Source organism: Homo sapiens, chromosome 3 (genome assembly GCF_000001405.40).
Source record: "Homo sapiens chromosome 3, GRCh38.p14 Primary Assembly".
NCBI classification, from domain to species: domain Eukaryota; kingdom Metazoa; phylum Chordata; class Mammalia; order Primates; family Hominidae; genus Homo; species Homo sapiens.
Window position 1 is genome coordinate 48,746,432 of NC_000003.12, and position 18,742 is coordinate 48,765,173.

Sequence of the window (18,742 nt, forward strand, 5' to 3'; positions counted from 1 at the left end):
TGACTAGTACAAGGGGTCCCTAATTTTCAAGGGCTCATACCCTAATCCCAGATCTACCAGAAGAATGAATCTGCCAAAGGAGTGCTATGACGGCCTGGAGCCCTGAAGCAAAATGGCAAACACGTAACATAAGACTGCACCAGAAAGTCAGACATGATTTGTCAGCCTTTATTAATCAAGAGTAAAGCCGAGCCCTAGGGTTTCCTTAACAACAACAAAAAGAACATCAACCTTGTTTATGGCAAACAGTGACTTAATTCTTAATGACTGTTCATTATATGTTTAACACCACAGAGCAAGAATTGATCACGTTTCAATCACTTATTCTTCTGAGATTAAAATACAAGATTAAAACAGATTAAAATAAAATTCACTCCAAGAATTTAAAAAATAATTCCAAATGAAGGACATTTCAAACACTGTATATAGAACTCAGGACCAAAAGAAGACCTTAAAACATTTTTTACCTTTGAGGTAGCACAATAATGCTGAATTAGATTTATTTTATTACAGTGAGCTTAAAAAAACAACACGGAATCTACCCTTTGCTCAAGGTGGGCTAAATGGTTTTACGCAAACCCCTCCATGAGGTTAGTGACAGTTCTTGTCCTTTTTTTTTTTTTTTTTTTTTTTTTTAAAGTATAAAGATAGCCCTGCAGTGTGTAAAAGGAAACCTATGGGAAGGCTGCTTCCCATAAAATAGACAATAGAATCATTGAGGAACGTCAGCAGTCAAGACAGGAGGAACAAGAGGTCATTGTAGTGAAAAACCAAAACAACTTGTATCTTGGCAAGATTGGTTTACAAGTTCATGACAAGAACAAAAATTCCAACATCAGCCAACTGAAAATAAAAGATAAAAGATGACATTCATGGATCTTTTTATTTTTCTCTGTGCAAAATGCTCTTCTTTCTGAATTAGAGGGTAGCTTGTACACTGTGACATGACATGAAATGCTGTGTGCCCAGGGTGCTGCTGGGTGCCAACAGCACCTCTCACTGAATACGATATCACTGTGTGCAGAGAAAACGGGCAATCAGAGGATAAACATAACCTCTCCTGGCTGGAGAACCATTTCTTGCGACTTTGCTGCTGAATTCACTCATTAAACTGCTCAAAGGAAAAGCTCTACCCTGATTTCTGAGAGTCTACAGCAATATATGTAACACAATTATATATGAAGACTATTGACTAACAGGACAATAGCACATGAACCTTTCCTTCAGAGAATTCAACCAAGAGAAGAGAGTGGGTGGCATAAGCTGGGGGCCAAAAGGAAGGCTCTCAGGAATATTCTCTACCATCCAAAATCAACAGCAAAGCCAGAAAAGGGGCATGAGCTCTAATTCATTGAAGAGAACACCACAAAACAGTTAACAAAGGGATCTCTTTCCAACACATGCTCCTCTCCATGAGGCTCAACCGTCAGTGCAGGGCTTGCCTGATGTGGACAATGTGGATACCTCAGCCCTGAGTTGAACTTGGCATGCCACCTTTGATTCCCCATGCTGCAAAAAGAATTGGAACGCTGTCAGGTCCTGGCACCGTGGTAATGGCTATATCCTATTTCACTCACACACGTCCTTTTAAAGTCTCCCTTCCTCAAGCTATTAAATAGAACCCTCTAGGGATCCTGTATGCAGTGAGGGTCTGAACTGATGATCCATATGTCAATCAGTAGTTGGAGGAGGATGACTTTTTTTTTTTTTTTTTGAGATAGGGTCCCACTTTGTCCCCCAGACTGGAGTGCAGTGGCACGATCATGGCTCACTGCAGCTTCAGTCTCCCAGGTTAAAGGAATCCTTTCACCTCAGCCTACTGAGTGTGCACCACCAGGTCCAGCTAATTGTTTTTTTAACTTTTTTTTTTTTTTTTTTTCTTGGTAGAGACAGGGTCTCCCTCTGTTGCCCAGGATGGTTTGGAACTCCTGGGCTCAAGCAATCCTCCCACTTTGGCTTCCCAAAGTGCTGAGATTACAGGCATGAGCCACTATGCCCAACCTGAGCAGGATGACTTAAACCTGATCAATTCTACTCCAAAACAGCAACTATCATTAAGTCAGGGGTGTCAAGGAGGACTCTGTGAAGGCAAAGACTAGACTGGGATGTGTGCGAGAGTGGGATAAGAAGGCCCATCCCTAGCAGACTGCAGGAGTGACTCTGGCATAGAATTCATGGCCAGCCCTAACTAGTGTGATGGGTGGCAGGGAGGAGGCATCTGCTCAGTGTTCAAACAAAATCCTTACAAGTTCTGGGGCTGGACCTCTGTGTCACTCCTGAATCCCAATGTATCCGTTACCTTTACAAGAAACTGGTGTGGTTCTTGTCTGCTAAGGGCAAGACCTGTTTTCTGAATTTACTTTCTGATAATAAAGTAACACCATGGAAAAGAAGAACCTCAGAAAAATATGGGGTCACCACATGGGCTTTCCCAGTGCTAGCTGCCTGTTTTGGAAAGCTGCAATGTAGGCTACAGAGGGCAGTCTGAAAAGAGTCCTTCTGCTTTCGCTTCCTGGAGCTTAAGAAGAAAAGAGGAATTACCAAGGTTGTGGTGGGTTATTTACTCTGGAAATATCTTGGTCACACTGTCCGTGGCAAAAGCGGAAAGCCTAGCTTATGTGGATAGTTGAAGGTGACTGTGTGGGCCATCATTATCTACAATAGAAATGACTCAAGCCCTAGCATGTAATCTCTTAGGGACTTAACAAGTTAAAAAGAAACAAAAAATCATATTGGAAATGGCCTCTTGGTTTAATATAAACTTGGTTACAACATTCAAATTTATCTTTACGGAAATTTCACACTGCTCCTAGGAGCCCTTATAGCATCTGATTCTAAGTTATTCTGAAGGAAAAAAAAATTATTCTGAAATATACCTTATTAGGATGATCACTGGAATTCTACCAGATATAAGTAAAAGGCTAAATGGGTTTTAAATAAATACAAGCTAAATTACCTTCTTCTGGGGTTAACAATTAGAATCCCAAATACCCCAACATCTCAACTAGAAAGGCCTTCACAGTAATTCTATGAAATTGTAAATGATGCCAAATTTTTTTTTTTTTTTTGAGATGGAGTCTTGCACTGTCACCCGGGGTGGAATACAATGGTGCAATCTCGGCTCACTGCAACCTCCACTCCCAGGTTCAAGCGATTCTCCTGCCTGAGCCTCTCAAGTAGCTGGGATTACAGGCGCCCACCACCATGCCCAGCTAATTTTTTGTATTTTTAGTAGAGACGGGGTTTCACTATGTTGGCCAGGCTGGTCTTGAACCCCTGACCTCGTGATCCGCCCGCCTCGGCCTCCCAAAGTGCTGGGATTACAGGTGTGGGTCACCGTGCCTGGCCAATGCCAATTTTTGAAAACAGATTTGATCTTTAGGGTAAATGCCTGAGTCAGCTGACAAACTCCATATACATGAATATGTCCAAGTGAAATTACCTAAAGAATAATTTTTTTTCTTTCTTTTTTTTTTTTTAAGAGACAGGGTCTCACTGTGTCACCCAGACTGGAGTGCAGTGGCATGATCACAGCTCACTGTTGCCTTGACCTCCTGGGCTCAAGTGATCCTTCCACCTCAGCCTCCTAAGTATTTGGGACTACATGCATGCATCACCACACCTGACAAATTAAAAAAAAATTTTTTTTTTGCCAGGTGCAGTGGCTCACATCTGTAATCCCAGCACTCTGAGAGGCTGAGGTGGGCGGATCACCTGAGGTTGGGAGTTTGAGACCAGCCTGACCAACACAGAGAAACCCTGTCTCTATTAAAAATACAAAATTCGCCCGGCATGGTGGCGCATGCCTGTAATCCCAGCTACTCAGGAGGTTGAGGCAGGAGAATCACTTTAATCTGGGAGGCGGAGGTTGCGGTGAGCCAAGACCGCACCATTGCACTCCAGCCTGGGCAACAAGAGCGAAACTCCGTCTCAAAAAGAAAACAAAAAAAAAATTTTTGTTTTTGTAGAGACAGGATCTCACTCTGTTGCCTAGGCTGGTCTTAAGCGATCCTCCCAGCTCAGCCTCCCAAAGCACTACAATTATAGGCATGAGCCATTGAGCCTGGCCTGAGAATTTTCTTTAATTTCAAAAAAATAGCTGCTGCTTCTTTAAAGAGTTTAAAAATTGATCGGTTCAATGGCAAAGCTACACAACAACTCTGGAGTAGAAGGAAAGAACTCTCTTTATAGTACAACCTCTTTCCAGCATACTGCCATCAGCTAGTAGAGGCAACTGCAAACAAATGGTAGGAGTTGCCCAGGAAGGTATTTGGGCTGGACAAAGTGATAGCAACCCTCCAGACCCTGGCTCCTTATAAATGTATAGCAATTCATTCATACAAACTGCACAGAGGTTAAACAAAACCTACTAAAAAAATTAAAAAATCCCACAAAATCCCCAACCCAGAAAACGTTTCCTGGCTCTCTACTAACAGTAAAATGTGCTGAGCCCAAATTTTCTGCTCTAACATGGGTCCCACGGACCTATCAGTCTGCTCTGGGGTGCTGACCTGCTGGGTCCTGAGCAGGGTCTTTCCCTAAGCATCACTGTGGGTTTGGAGACAGCTGTAATGTGTGCAGCTGTCAGCAGAAAGTACAATGCCACTGGGCTACATATGTCCATATCATCCACCACCATTTCCCACTGTAAAACCAAAGGCTGCAACTGTGAACAAATGTGGACTTCCTCAAAGGACAAATGAGGAGACTGAAGGCTACATTTCCTCCTTTGAGAACCATTAGAGAGTGTCTACAGTTATACAACAGGTTTCTGCAGACCCTGTGGTAACTTCCAAAAGCAAGAGTAGCAGCAAGAGAGGAAAGGAGCATGTTTATACTTTGGACTTTGTATCAGGCACTTAAATTGTTGGAGAGACATGCCGTTTTGAACCAAAGATATAAAAACTGGGTTGGAGTAATCTTTACAAGTGGTCTAATGAATGGGCCTTCAGAAGCAAAGTGGAGGTGTGGGTTGAACCTCTGCCCATCCTTTAGTGCTGACTTTCAAGTTTTCTAAATGCCCATAACCACAGCAATGGCAGCAGTGGCGGCAACGGCAGGAACAGTTCTGTCATGTCTGTTTTCTGTATGTGTTCTGTGGCTGACCAGAAGGTTTTGGTGTCACACTAAGAAGGCTCTGGGGTGTGGCACACCTACTGCCCGAGGTTGCCCAGATCCACGCTGGAGCCAAACATCTTCACCAGCTGTTCCTCATAGTGTGAGATGTTCCTCTTCATGATGTCCATGCAGGGCCCCAGAAGCCTCTCGAATGCTTGTACATCCATAACTGCATTGTTAAAAAGAGGTGAGGGAGAGAATGAATTCAAGCCATTTCCCTCATGCAAACCTTTTCCTAAACATACCCATTCATGTTGTATGAGATTACGCCTTGGGACACCAGCCACTTGCAAAAAGGGATGTTTCTATATGAATTCAGAAGACTGTCATCCAGGTTAGAGACTTTACAGAGTCCAGCAGCTCCTGTTCTCCCCATTCTCCCACAGCCCTGGACATCAGTTCTTTTCATACGGCTAAAGAACCTGCATGCCTGTCTTGCTCACAGGCTGTCATCAGTACTCAGAAATGTTTGCTGAAAGCATCCATTCATCCATCTCTGGTTGGTCACATAAACTGCCTAGGCCTAGACAGCAGTAAAAGATGGCAGAATATGTCAAGGCTTGCTGATGGGAAAAAAATATTACATGTTAGAAAAAGAATATTAATGCATAAAGAACTTTTCTTACCTAAGCATTTGACATCTCCAACTGCATAAGCTGAGGCAGCTCTGGGTTTGTTGGTGACCAGGGCAAGCTCTCCAAAGTACTGCCCCTTATGGCAGCGGGCAATCTCGACCTCCTGGTTCCCACCATCCTTGTTTGATTTAGTCTACAGCAGGCAAAGAACATGACCTAGGCTGACTCCAGGATCACAGCTGGGCATGTCCAGTTGCACACACATACACTGTTCTCAGCATACTCTACACAATTACTGAGGAATTCACTTTGCAGAAAATTCACTAACTGTACCATGTAAACTCCATGGACTAATCTCAGTGGTCTGGTTTGATCAGAAAAGTCTGCTTTTTACCTAGAGCTCGGAGTCCTAACATTTTCAAGGTAATCTACAGCCATACCATTCTGAACATGCCCAATCTTGTCTAAATAAGGACAATGCTTCTCTTAGGTAATGAGCCACAAACTTGGGCTATTTCTCTGATTTGAGACTGCGCCTTGAACAACATTTTACAGTGACAAAATCCCCCATGCCCCCCACATTTTTTTTTAAGAGACAGGGTCTCACTCTGTCACCAAGGCTGGAGTTCAGAGGAATGATCACAGCTCATGCAGCCTTCAACTGTTGGCCTCAAGCAATCCTCCCATCTTGGCCTCCCAAAGTGCTCGGATTACAGGAGTGATTCACTGCTCCTGGCCAACAAATTTCTTTTTAAGTACTATTTGTACCTTAAGTTAGTGGTTCCCTCCTCCTTTTTTTTTTTTTTTTTTTTTTTTTTTTTTTTTTGAGATGGAGTCTCGCTCTGTCGCCCAGGCTGGAGTGCAGTGGCGCAATATCCGCTCACTTCAAGCTCTGCCTCCCAGGTTCATGCCATTCTCCTGCCTCAACCTCCCAAGTAGCTGGGACCACAGGCGCCCGCCACCACGCCTGGCTAATTTTTTTGTATTTTTAGCAGAGACAGGGTTTCACCATGTTCGCCAGTATAGTCTCCATCTGCTGACCTCATAATCTGCCCGCCTCGGCCTCTCAAAGTGCTGGGATTATAGGCACTCCCCCCTCCCATTTTTTAAAATAAGAGTTAAGTAACTAAATTTAAGATAATATACTACATTATATTAATATCTAGAGGTTTTTTTTTTTAACAAATCCAACTGCTAACCAAAGTGATAATTTAAGTAAATAATTGTTTAGAATTTATTAGTAAGAATTAGTCTCAATCTCTAAGAACCACTTTATGTTGTAGGCAGAAAGATAATTTCCTTTTTGGTTAATTTTTAAAAGAAACAAAACTGCTACACTAGCTTACACGGTTTGACCCTTCTTCCTTCTACACTTCTGCCCTGTTGCTCTGAAGTTGGTCTGTTTCATCTGAGCCAACTTTCCCTTTCCAATTTCAGTAGTATTCTCTGGAGTTGCAGCCATATTCGTGCCCACTTAGTCCCTTCTCTAAAACAGAAGGGACTTATCACACTGTCACATACACACCAGCTCCCGTATTACGCAGGTTTTCTCGCAATGCACATTCTGATTCAGTAAATCTGGGGAAAAGCCAGGACTCTGAACTTCTGACAAACCACCCATCCCCAATATCCCAGTGCCATGCTGCTGCTGATCTTATGCACCTAACACTATGCTGTGATCATAGCAGGTGTCAATGAATATCTGAGAAATCTACAAACATCACTAGTCCAAAAACTGTAAGTAAAATGACACAGACATTTCAAACTATTGTTTTCTTTTTTTTTTTTTTTTGAGCAGAGTCTCACTCTGTTGCCCAGGCTGGAGTGCAGTGGTGTGATCTCAGCTCACTGCAAGCTCTGCCTCCTGGGCTCATGCCATTCTCCTGCCTCAGCCTCCTGAGTAGCTGGGACTACAGGTGCCCGCAACCACACCTGGCTAATATTTTTTGTGTTTTTTAGTAGAGACGGGGTTTAACCATGTTAGCCAGGATGGTCTCGATCTCCTGACCTCGTGATCCGCCTGCCTCGGCCTCCCAAAGTGCTGGAATTACAAGCGTGAGCCACCATGCCAGGCCAAAACTATTGTTTTCAGTTGAAACAACAGATCTACTTTTTTCTTTTTTTTTTTTTGAGACAGAGTTTGGCTCTTGTTGCCCAGGCTGGAGTGCAATGGTGCGATCTCAGCTCACTGCAACCTCCGCCTCCCGGGTTCAAGCGATTCTCCTGCCTCAGCCTCCTGAGTAGCTGTGACTACAGCTATGTGCCACCACGCCCGGCTAATTTTGTATTTTTAGTAGAGATGAGGTTTCTCCATGTTGGTCAGGCTGGTCTCAAAGATCTACTTTTAATTAAGAATCAAGCTATCACATGGGCGCCGGTGGCTCATGCCTGTAATCCCAGCACTTTGGGAGGCAGAGGCAGGAGGATCACCTGAGGTCAGGAGTTCCAGACCAGCCTGGCCAACATGGGGAAACCCTGTCCCTACTAAAAGTACAAAAAATTAGCTGGGCTTGGTGGTGGGAGCCTATAGTCCCAGCTACTTGCGAGGCTGAGGCAGGAGAATCGCTTGAACCCAGGGACGGAGGTTGCAGTAAGCTGAGATCACGCCACTGCACTCCAGCCTGGGCAACAAGAGCGACACTCTAGCTTAAAATAAAAAAGAATCAAGCTACCTTCAGCTACTCAGTAGGGTGAGGCACGAGAATCGATTGAAACTAGGGGGTTGGAGGTTGCAGTGAGTTGAGATTGCACCACTGCATTCCAGCCTGGGCAACAGAGCAAGACTCACTCAAAAAAAAAAAAAGAGAGAGAGAGAAAACAAATCCAGCTATCTTACAGACAGTAATATTCTTCTTTTTCCATACTTATTAACTTTTTTTTTTTTTTTTTTTGAGACAGAGTCTTGCTCTGTTGCCCAGGCTGGAGTACAGTGGTGTGATCTCAGCTCACGCAAGCTCTGCCTCCCGGGTTCACGCCATTCTCCTGCCTTAGCCTCCCGAGTAGCTGGGACTACAGGCGCCCGCCACCATGCCTGGCTAATTTTTTGTATTTTTATTAGAGACAGGGTTTCACTGTGTTAGCCAGGATGGTCTCAATCTCCTGACCTCGTGATCTGCCCGCCTCAGCCTCCTAAAGTGCTGGGATTACAGGTGTGAGCCACCGTGCCCGGCTACTTATTAACTTTTACTCAATATATTTTGCTAAAGTTTTCATATTAACTCGACTTAGTATTATATATAACTGTTTTAACACACTCTGTATTCTCAAAAAAGAAAAAAAAGAAACCGAAAAATCTGGTGATGACAGATTTACCAGTAACAGTCATTCCTCCTACTTACAGCTCCTCAGTTTTCTAGGTCACACCATCCATTAAATGACCACAGTTATCCTAGAGACCTCTTCTAACAGTGCTCTAACAAGGAAGCTTTCTTCATGTTCATCCCTTCCAATCTCTTTTTATTATATAATTTCCCTATTTTCTTTCCTTTTTTTTTTTTTTTAAAGACAGGGTCTTGCTCTGTCACCCAGGCTGGAGTGCAGTGGCACAATCACGGTTCACTGCAGCCTCAATCTCTTGGGCTCAAGAGATCCTCTTGCCTAGGCCTCCAAAGTGCTAGGATTACAGGTGTGAGACATTGCGCCCAGCCCCCATTTCCTTTTTTTTTTTTTTTTTTGACGGAGTCTCGCTCTGTCGCCCAGGCTGGAGTGCAGTGGTACGATCTCAGCTGACTGCAAGCTCTGCCTCCGGTGTTCATGCCATTCTCCTGCCTCAGCCTCCTGAGTAGCTGGGACTACAGGCGCCCGCCACCATGCCTGGCTAATTTTTTTTGTATTTTCAGTAGAGACAGGGTTTCACCGTGTTAGCCAGGATGGTTTCAATCTCCTGATCTTGTGATCCGCCCGCCTTGCCCTCCCAAAGTGCTGGGATTACAGGCGTGAGCCACTGTGCCCGGCCCCAGCCCCCATTTTCTATTAGGGTTTTTATCTTTTTCTTATTGATTTGTAGGCCAATATTCCCTAAATCATTAATTACACAGCAGAGGCAAAGGGAGCAAGAATAAGAATATGCTAAATCTATATCTAATCTAATCTAAATATGCTAAATCTATACTAAATGGGCTTAAACATGGGTCTTTGCCAGTCACACACCTCACATAACAATGATGGTTTGGTGTATTCAACACACTTCACATTATTTAAAACAAATAGTTACTTTTTGTGTGTACACCATCACATATAAACTGATAAACTCACCCTGCTTCTAATCAAGATGCTCACTTCGCCAGACTCTATGATGTAAAAGCTATCAGCCTTTTCACCCTGAAAGAAAAGAGAGGTCAGGTCAGAGCCATAAGTAGTATTGAAGGGGAATAAAGAAATAGATTGCTTTTTCACTGCTTAAGCTCTGATTTGTATTTATTTTTTAACTCTGCAAATGAATCAATAGTAAACAAATTCAGAGCAGGCAATGAGACCTTGCCTCTTAGGAAAAGGAAAAAAAAAAGAGCTTGAGAAGGTGAGATTTGAGCAAATATTGGGAGGACGTCTGAGTCAGGCATGCAGATATACGCGAAGCAGCTTTCAGGCACACTTCAGTTTCTGACCCCTCACTATTAACTTGTGGAACAAACACCATCTACATCAGATAACGCATTATTACTCATGCACTCTCACTCTGTGTGGGTCTTTTGTCTTCACTGAGAATCTACTTCTGAGGCTTTCACAAACTTCATGCCCTTTGACCATCACACAGAGCCCCAAGTGGGCACCATACACAGCTAGGCTGATGTTTCTGAGTTAATCTAGTCCCAGGACGTATCACTGCCCCATATGAGTAAATGCCACAGCTTTACAAAGGGGTGCCTGTGGGTTTCTGCCCTGCTATGTTGGGTAGGTATCTTAACAACCAGCAGAGCCAAATCACCATGAAGTTCTAGCATTACACAAACAGCTTCATGATAGGAGCTGACAAAGGATGAACAGCCATGAAAGAAACTTAGTAGGAGCCAGAGGCAGAGTCACAAAGAGGGAGAGGTACTTCACCAAGAAGAGGGTGGTGAAAAGGGAAGATCTGTGTGGTAGGAAAGATCTGCAAGTGATAGGTGGTGAAGGATAGTGCTTGAGCCCTTTTTGTTTAGATAGGTGTATAACATCCACCATTTAAAGTGGTCACATTTCAAGGCTTGATGACTTTTTACAAATGTATAAACCTGTATAACCACCTCCTAGATCAAAATAGAAAATATATCCGTTCTTCAAAAGGCTCCCTCCGGAGTTCAGTCAAAACTACCACATTCCCACCCATGAAGTAACTATATCTAATTTCTGTCCTTGTAGGTTTTGGCCATTCCTTAACTTAATATAAATGGAATCATATATTTTTTGTATCTGGCTTATTTTAGTCCATATTGTTAGATCACACTTTGAAAGTCTCTGGCTATGCAAGAAATTAGGCTGGTAGCTAAAATAGAAACAAACTGAAGGAAGGAGTGTACGTGTGTTTTGAAGACAGCAAAGGCCAGGCACGGTGGCTCACACCTGTAATCCCAGCACTTTGGGAGGCTGAGGGGGGTGGATTGCTTGAGGCCAGGAGTTCGACACCAGCCTGGGCAAAATGGTGAAACCTTGTCTCTACTAAATACAAAAACAGGCCAGGTGTGGTGGCTCACGCCTGTAATCCCAGCACTTTGGGAGGCTGAGGTGAGTGGATCACCTGAGGTCAGGAGTTTGGTACCAGCCTGACCAACATGGTGAAGCCCCATCTCTACTAAAAATACAAAAATTAGCCAGGTGTGGTGATGCATGCCTGTAATCCCAGCTACTTGGGAGGCTGAGGCAGAAGAATAGCTTGAACCCGGGAGGCAGAGGTTGCAGTGAGCCGAGATCACGCCATTGCACTCCAGCCTGGGCGACAAGAACGAAACTCTGTCTCAAAAATAAATAAAATACATACATGCATACATACATACATACATACACAAAAATTAGCCAGGAGTGGTGGTGCACAACTGTAATCCCAGCTACTTGGGAGACTGAGGCACAAGAATCACTTAAACCTGGGAGGTGGAGGTTGCAGTGATCCGAGGTTGCACCACTGTACTCCAGCCTGGGCAAAAGAGTCAGACTCCATCTCAAAAAAAAAAAAGAAAAAAAGAAAAAAGGAAAAAAAAATGGCCTGGTGCAGTGGCTCATGCCTATAATCCTAGCACTTTGGGAGGCCACGGCAGGCAGACTGCCTGAGCTCAGGAGTTCGAGACCAGCTTGGGCAACATGGCGGCGAAACCCCATCTCTACCTAAACTACAAAAAATTAGCCAGGCGTGGTGGTGTGTGCCTGTAATCCCAGCTACTCAGGAGGCTAAGGCACGAGAATCGCTTGAACCCAGGAGGTGGAGGTCGCAGTAAGCCGAGATTGTGCCACTGCACTCCAGCCTGGGCGACAGAGCAAGACTGTCTCAAAAAAAAAAAAAAAAAAAGAGAAAAGGAAAACAAAATGAAGAAGACAGCAGAGACTAGGGTATGTGTACAGGATAAGAATGACTTAGGGCCTGAGGAGAATGAACAGGGGAGCTCATATAGAATAGAAGCTGCTAATGTTGCTGTGTGCTCACTCCCAGCAGGCTCTCTGGTGAGTACTTTATGTGTATCATTTCATTTTTTTTGCCAAAGAAGTCTAAGAAAGTAGGTACTATTACTATCCAATTTTGTGGATGACTTTCCTCAGAAGCCTGGGGGATAAATAATCTTTCCCTAGCAGGTAGCGTGAGTAGTTGGTAGATTCAGGGTTGAGAGGAGATGGGAAAGAATGTCATCTAGAATACATGAGAAACAAAAAGCCTTGGTTCACCTCTTCCTCTGGACCAAATGAAGGACAGTGAAAGGACTTTGGTCCATTAAATTTTACTGATTTGGTAATACTTCACTACAATGGATTATGATAATGTGAAACAATGCAAGGGGATAAAATTTAAAATAAAACCATGTTTTGATGATTTTAACCATCAGCTGAAAACAGTTGATCTTTGTGGCAGTTAAGGGATGCACTCTTTTGCATTTCCAATCTCATGAAACAGCCTGGTTAGGCTGGGACAGGCTAAATGTGTGGGCCAAGACACACATTTCCTGTTTCCATGCTGTCCAGTGGTGGATATTCTGGGTATACTGGCTGTTCAGGCTTTGTAGGACTGCTGTCATTTTGCAGGGTAGAATGAGATGACTACCCAGTTGGAAAAGAGAGCTCACTGGAAGAGCATCCTGCCCCTTTTTTTTTTTTTTTTTTTGAGACGGAGTTTCACTCTTGTTGCCCAGGCTGGAGCGCAATGGCGCGATCTTGGCTCACCACAACTTCTACCTCCTGGGTTCAAGTGATTCTCCTGCCTCAGCCTCCTGAGTAGCTGGGATTTACAGGCACGTGCCACCACATTCAGTTAATTTTGTATTTTTAGTAGAGACAGGGTTTCTCCATGTTGGTCAGGCTGGTCTCGAACCCCCAACCTCAGGTGATCCGCCTGCCTCGGCCTCCCTAAGTGCTGGGATTACAGGCATGAGCCACTGCGCCCGGCCAAGTATCCTGCTTTTCAAGTTCACTAATAGGCTCTGTGTACACATCTCACAGAAAGAACATTCCATTCTACATTCAACAGTAAAGAAGCCAGACTGTACTGCATTTTAGGTCTTTGTGAACATGTCATCAGGTTCTTATATGTCTCTTTTTCACAACAGATAATATAAGATCCACATTCCACCATAAGAATGACTGAAGCCCTAATTTTCAGGATATGGGAATCTTTTTGGTTTAATGCAATGGTACTTTAATAGCAAAAACATAAAACATGATTTTGTAAAACTAAAGCCACCTTCTGTCTACATTACTCTAAGAATAAGCTAAATATTCTATCAATCATGAAAATTACTTGTGAAAATTATACAAGTCATTAAAAAACAAAAATGTAGGCCAGGTGTGGTGGCTCACGCCATCCCAGTACTTTGGAAGGCCAAGGCGGACAGATCACCTGAGGTCAGAAGCTTGAGACCAGCATGGCCAACAGGCAAAAACCCTGTTCTCTACTAAAAATAAAAAAAAATTAGCCGGGCATGGTGATGCATGCCTGTAGTTCCAGCTACTCGGGAGGCTGAGGCAGAAGAATCACCTGAACTGGGGAGGTGGAGGTTGTAGTCAGCCGAGATTGTGCCATTGCACTCCAGCCTGGACAACAAGAGCAAGACTCTGTCTCAAAAAACAAAACAAAACAAAACAAAACACAAAAATGTAGTCAGGTATGGTGGCACAAGCCTGTAATCTTAGCTACTTGGGAGGTGAGGTGGGAGGATCACTTGAGGTCAGAAGTTCAAGACCAGCATGGGCAACATAGAGAGGCCCTGTCTCTACAAAAAATTTAAAAATTAGCTGGGTGTAGGCCGGGCGCAGTGGCTCACACCTGTAATCCCAGCACTTTGGGAGGCCGAGGCTGAGGTGGGCGGATCACCTGAGGTAGGGAGTTCACAGACCAGCCTGACCAACATGGAGAAACCCTGTCTTTACTAAAAAAAAAAAAAAAAAAATTAGCTGGGCATGGTGGTGCATGCCTGTAATCCCAGCTACTCAGGAAGCTGAGGCAGGAGAATCGCTTGAACACAGGAGGCGGGGGTGGTGGTGAGCTGAGATCGTGGCATTGCACTCTGGCCTGGGCAACAAGAGCAAAACTCCGTCTCAAAAAAAAAAAAAAAAAAATTAGCTTAGTGTGGTGGCATTACTTGGAAGGCTAAGGGAAGAGTATTGCTTGAGCCTAGAAGTTCAAGGCTGCAGTGAGCTATGATTGCACACTGTACTGAAGCCTGAAAGACAGAGTGAGACCTTGCTTCTAATAAACAAAAACAAGGCTGAGTGCAGTGGCTCACACCTGTAATCCCAGCACTTTGGGAGGCAGAGGAAGGAGGATCACGAGGTCAGGAGACTGAGACCATGCTGGCTAACACGGTGAAACCTGTCTCTACTAAAAACACAAAAAATTAGCCGGACGTGGTGGCGGGCGCCTGTAGTCCCAGCTACTTGGGAGGCTGAGGCAGGAGAATGGCGTGAACCCAGGAGGCGGAGCTTGCAGTGAGCCGAGATCACACCACTGCACTCTAGCCTGGGTGACAGAGGGAGACTCCATCTCAAAAAAACAAAACAAAAACAATAAAAATAACTCAAAATGGATCACAGACCTAAGGTAAGAGCTAAAATTCTGACTGTCTAGAGCTGTACTGCTCAATACATTAGCCACGAGTCAAATGTGGCTGAGCACTTGAAATGTTGCTAGTATAAACTTAGATGTGCTATAGATGGAAAACATACATTAGATTTTGAAGACAGTATTAAAAATGTAAAATATCTCATTAATAAAGTTTTATATCACTTAGATGTTGAAACAACATTTTAGATATACTGAGTTAAATGAAATATATTAAAATTAAGTTCACCATTTCAAATATCTACTGAAAGTTTTTATTTATTTATTTTTTTTGAGACCAAGTCTTGCTCTGTCCCCCAGGCTAGAATGCAAGTGGCATGATCTTGGCTCACTGCAACCTCTGCCTCCCAAGTTCAAACGATTCTCGTGCTTCAACCTCCCAAGTAGCTGGGATTACAGTTGTGCACCAGCAAACTCAGCTAATTTTTTTTATTACTTTTTAGTAGAGACGAGGTTTCGCCATGTTGGCCAGGCTGGTCTCGAACTCCTGGCCTCAAGTTATCTGCCTCAAGCTATTCAGCCTCCCAGAGTGCTGGGATTACAGGCGTGAGCCACCCTGCCTGACCAAAAATTTTTAAAATTACATATGTGGCTCACATATTATTTCTATTGAATAGTGCTGGTCTTAGAAGTAAACTTAGGAGAACATATTATTGATTTTGCAAAGATTTCCTAAAATACAGCAGCAAAAGTACACAACTACAAAGAAGAAAAGATGATAAACTGGACTTGTCAAAATTAAAACCATTTTCTCTTCAAAAGATACCATTAAGAAAATGAAGGCCAGGTGCGGAGGTGCACACCTATAATCCCAGCACTTAGAAGGCCAAGGCGGGCAGATGGCTTGAGCTCAGGAGTTCGAGACCAGGCTGGGCAATATAGCAAGACCCTGACTGTAATTTTTTTAAAAAAGGCTGTAAATACTATTTATTGGTGAGAATGCAGAGAAACTGGAATTTTCATACATGGCTGGTAGGAATACAAGACAGTACAGCCATTTTAAGAAACAGTTTGTTATGAAGTTAAAATATAATTTAGCAATTGCACTCTTAAGTATTTACTAAGGAGGCCAGCCTGGCCAACATGGTGAAATCCCATTTCTACTAAAAAAACACACACATGCACAAAATTAGCTGGGCAGAGTGACACGTGCCTCTGGTCCCAGCTACTCGGGAGGCTGAGGCACAAGAATCGCTTGAACCTGGGAGGCAGAGGTTGCAGTGAGCTGAGATTATGCCACTGTACTCCAGCTTGGGCAACAGGGCAAGACTGTATCTCATTAAAAAGAAAAAGTAATGGGAGGCTGAGGCAAGAGAATAGCTTGAACCTGGGAGGTGGAGGTTATGGTGAGCTGAGATTGCGCCATTGCACTCCAGCCTGGGCAACAAGAGGAAAACTCCGTCTCAAAAAGAAAAAAAAATTACATTTGTACAATGAAATATTATTAGCAATAAAAAGGAACGATCTACTGATACATACAACACGAATAAATCTCAAAAATATTATGCTAAGAGAAAGAAGCCAGACACAGAGACTATACATTACATGATTTCATTTATACTAAATTGTAGAAAGGAATTTCTACAGTGACAGAAAACATCAATGGTTTCCAGGAATGTGAGTGTGGGGGAGGGTACTGACTGCAAATACAAAACAAGGAACTGTATGGGTGATGGAAATACCACTTGGGGATGGTTACAAAACTCTTCCGATTTGTACACTTAAACTTAGTAATTTTATTGTATGTAAAATACACTGTAACAAAGCTGATCAAAACAAATGAAACAACATAAAATGTAGTTTCTGATTCAGCAGGTCTGGTGGGGGGCTCCAGAACTTGCATTCCTAACAATTCTAACATCCTCAGATGATGCTGATTGCTGCTGGTCCTGGGACCTCACTTTGAGAAGCCTTGGTCCAGTGAGAGACATTGACAAAAGGGACCTACAATAAGCCCCTTTTAATATCATCTTAATTAATGTCCATTCTGTACCACTACCTATCTACCTTGAAGATAGATAGCACTCTATCTTCAAGAGCACAGACCATGAAGAAAACACTATTGACTTCTCACATCTCCTGACATACTTCCTGAAAACCCAGTATGAGACAGGCCTAGAACCTTCAGGATGACTTGAAGGTCCTTTGAATGTTACTTAAAGCACCTTAGGTTCAGAAGCAAATGTGGCCAGTTAACATCTCCCATTTCTGAATCTCAGCACTACATTCTTACCATACCAGGATACCTGCTCTGAAACACAGCTCACACCACTGGCCTTTGCTAATATTGTTTTCTTGCTCTGAAGGACCTTTCCCTGATCCCAAACATTGAAATTGCACTTGTTTTTTAAGCCCATCTCAAATGGCATTTCCTCAATGAAACCATATGTATTACTTCCATTTCTATGTTCTCACTGTCGTTCATACTCTCCTTCATTATAGTGCTTATCATATCTGGTCCTACCTATCTTAATAAATGTTTATAGAATATTCCAATTTCTAATTAAAAGAATTATTAATAGTAACGGCTCCTAGAAAACAAATACATTTAGAGATGTGACTCAGAGTAGACATCATATTTTTGTTAGTCCTTTATCTCTTCCAAGGGAGCTTTTTTCTCCCCTTTTATGGTAAGTCTGATTAGTCCTTGTGTTCTAGTGGGGCCAACTCCACCCACAGGACCCACACCTGACCAATCTGAGCCTTTCCTCCTCGTAGTCTCAGTACTGGGTTCTAGGATAAGCATATCACCCAACCTAGACCAACCATGTATCTTCTCCGTGCTCTTGAGCCAGAACCATAGGCAGATAAGCTTATACCTGGAAAAGTCCAATACTATTTATGTTTAATTAAAAATACAAACACAGCGGACAAAGAAAATTATCAGACAGTACTCATTACAATGATCTAGCCCACTGTTTAGTAATCTTTACATCTTACAAATTTGGTTAATCACTGAAGACTGTGAACTCTGATTTGTGTTAGATTAGCCAAAAGGATGCCTTTGTGTCAAATATAGAAAGTTAGAGGACAGAACTCTTTAACCTTCCCCAGGTTCTAATAGCAATGGATGAAACTTACTTAAGGTCAAAAGAAAATGACATCAAAAGAACAAACACTAGAAGCCAAGGAAAGGTGAGAGGAAGCAAGAGATCTGCACGTGTCAGTAAGACGGACGTCAATAAGCTTCAGAGGACTACATAATAGTCCTCTGAAGTATGATCTATTACCTGGTAATAAGAGCTCCCAACAGTGGGAGAACATAGAAGGTTTTTTGGTTTTTTTTTGAAATGGAGTCTTGCTCTGTTGCCCAGGCTGGAGGCAGTGGCGCAATCTCGACTCACTGAAACCTTTGCCTCCTGGGTTCCAGCAATTCTCCCGCCTCAGCCTCCCAAGTAGCTGGGATTACAGGCATGGGCCACCACACCCAGCTAATTTTTGTATTTTTAGTAGAGATGGAGTTTTACCATGTTGGCCAGGCTGGTCTTGAACTCCTGGCCTCAAGTGATCCACCTGCCTCAGCCTCCCGAAGTGTTGGGATTACAGGCGTGAGCCACTGCGTCCGGCAAGAAGTTTTTGAGATAAATGATGTACTAGTTCTTCAGGGGTGACTTCCAGGAAAGGAGCTGCGTAAAGCCCTCACTCACCTGAGTGATTATGCGTTCTCCATCCTTATAGATCTTCTCTCCTATTACATCCACAATCTTCATTCGTTCTGACACCTGAAACAACAAATTCACAAATAAAAGGAAAAGACCTTAATTGAAAGTCACAATAGCTATGCAGCACAGAAATAGGATTAGAATAGTATGATTTG

General features: G+C 43.2%; 1 protein-coding gene across 9 annotated transcripts in view, besides 1 other annotated feature; it reads right to left on the reverse strand.

Annotated features, from left to right (window-relative positions):
* PRKAR2A (protein kinase cAMP-dependent type II regulatory subunit alpha) overlaps positions 1-18,742 on the reverse strand; it is a 103,284-nt gene that overhangs the window by 1,841 nt on the left and 82,701 nt on the right. For 2 of the 9 annotated variants that reach the window (XR_002959546.2, XM_011533942.4), the window contains exons 8-11: positions 18,573-18,647; positions 9,948-10,013; positions 5,745-5,886; positions 5,154-5,287 (exon numbers count right to left, since the gene is read on the reverse strand). Coding sequence is in view for 8 of the 9 variants with exons in the window: in XM_011533942.4 (XP_011532244.1) it covers positions 5,154-5,287; positions 5,745-5,886; positions 9,948-10,013; positions 18,573-18,647 (417 nt within the window). In the remaining variant the exon portion in view is untranslated. Of the gene's footprint in view, positions 1-154; positions 5,682-5,744; positions 5,887-9,947; positions 10,014-18,572; positions 18,648-18,742 lie in introns of those variants that run through there. The other 7 variants (NM_001321989.2, NM_004157.4, NM_001321982.2 and 4 more) reach the window with 6 other exon arrangements.
* Positions 17,492-17,692: a silencer, noted in NCBI's record as "peak4643 fragment used in MPRA reporter construct". NCBI's record gives its function as "represses an SCP1 promoter by STARR-seq MPRAs in K562 erythroleukemia cells {active_cell/tissue: K562}" and the evidence as "EXISTENCE:reporter gene assay evidence [ECO:0000049][PMID:32103011]".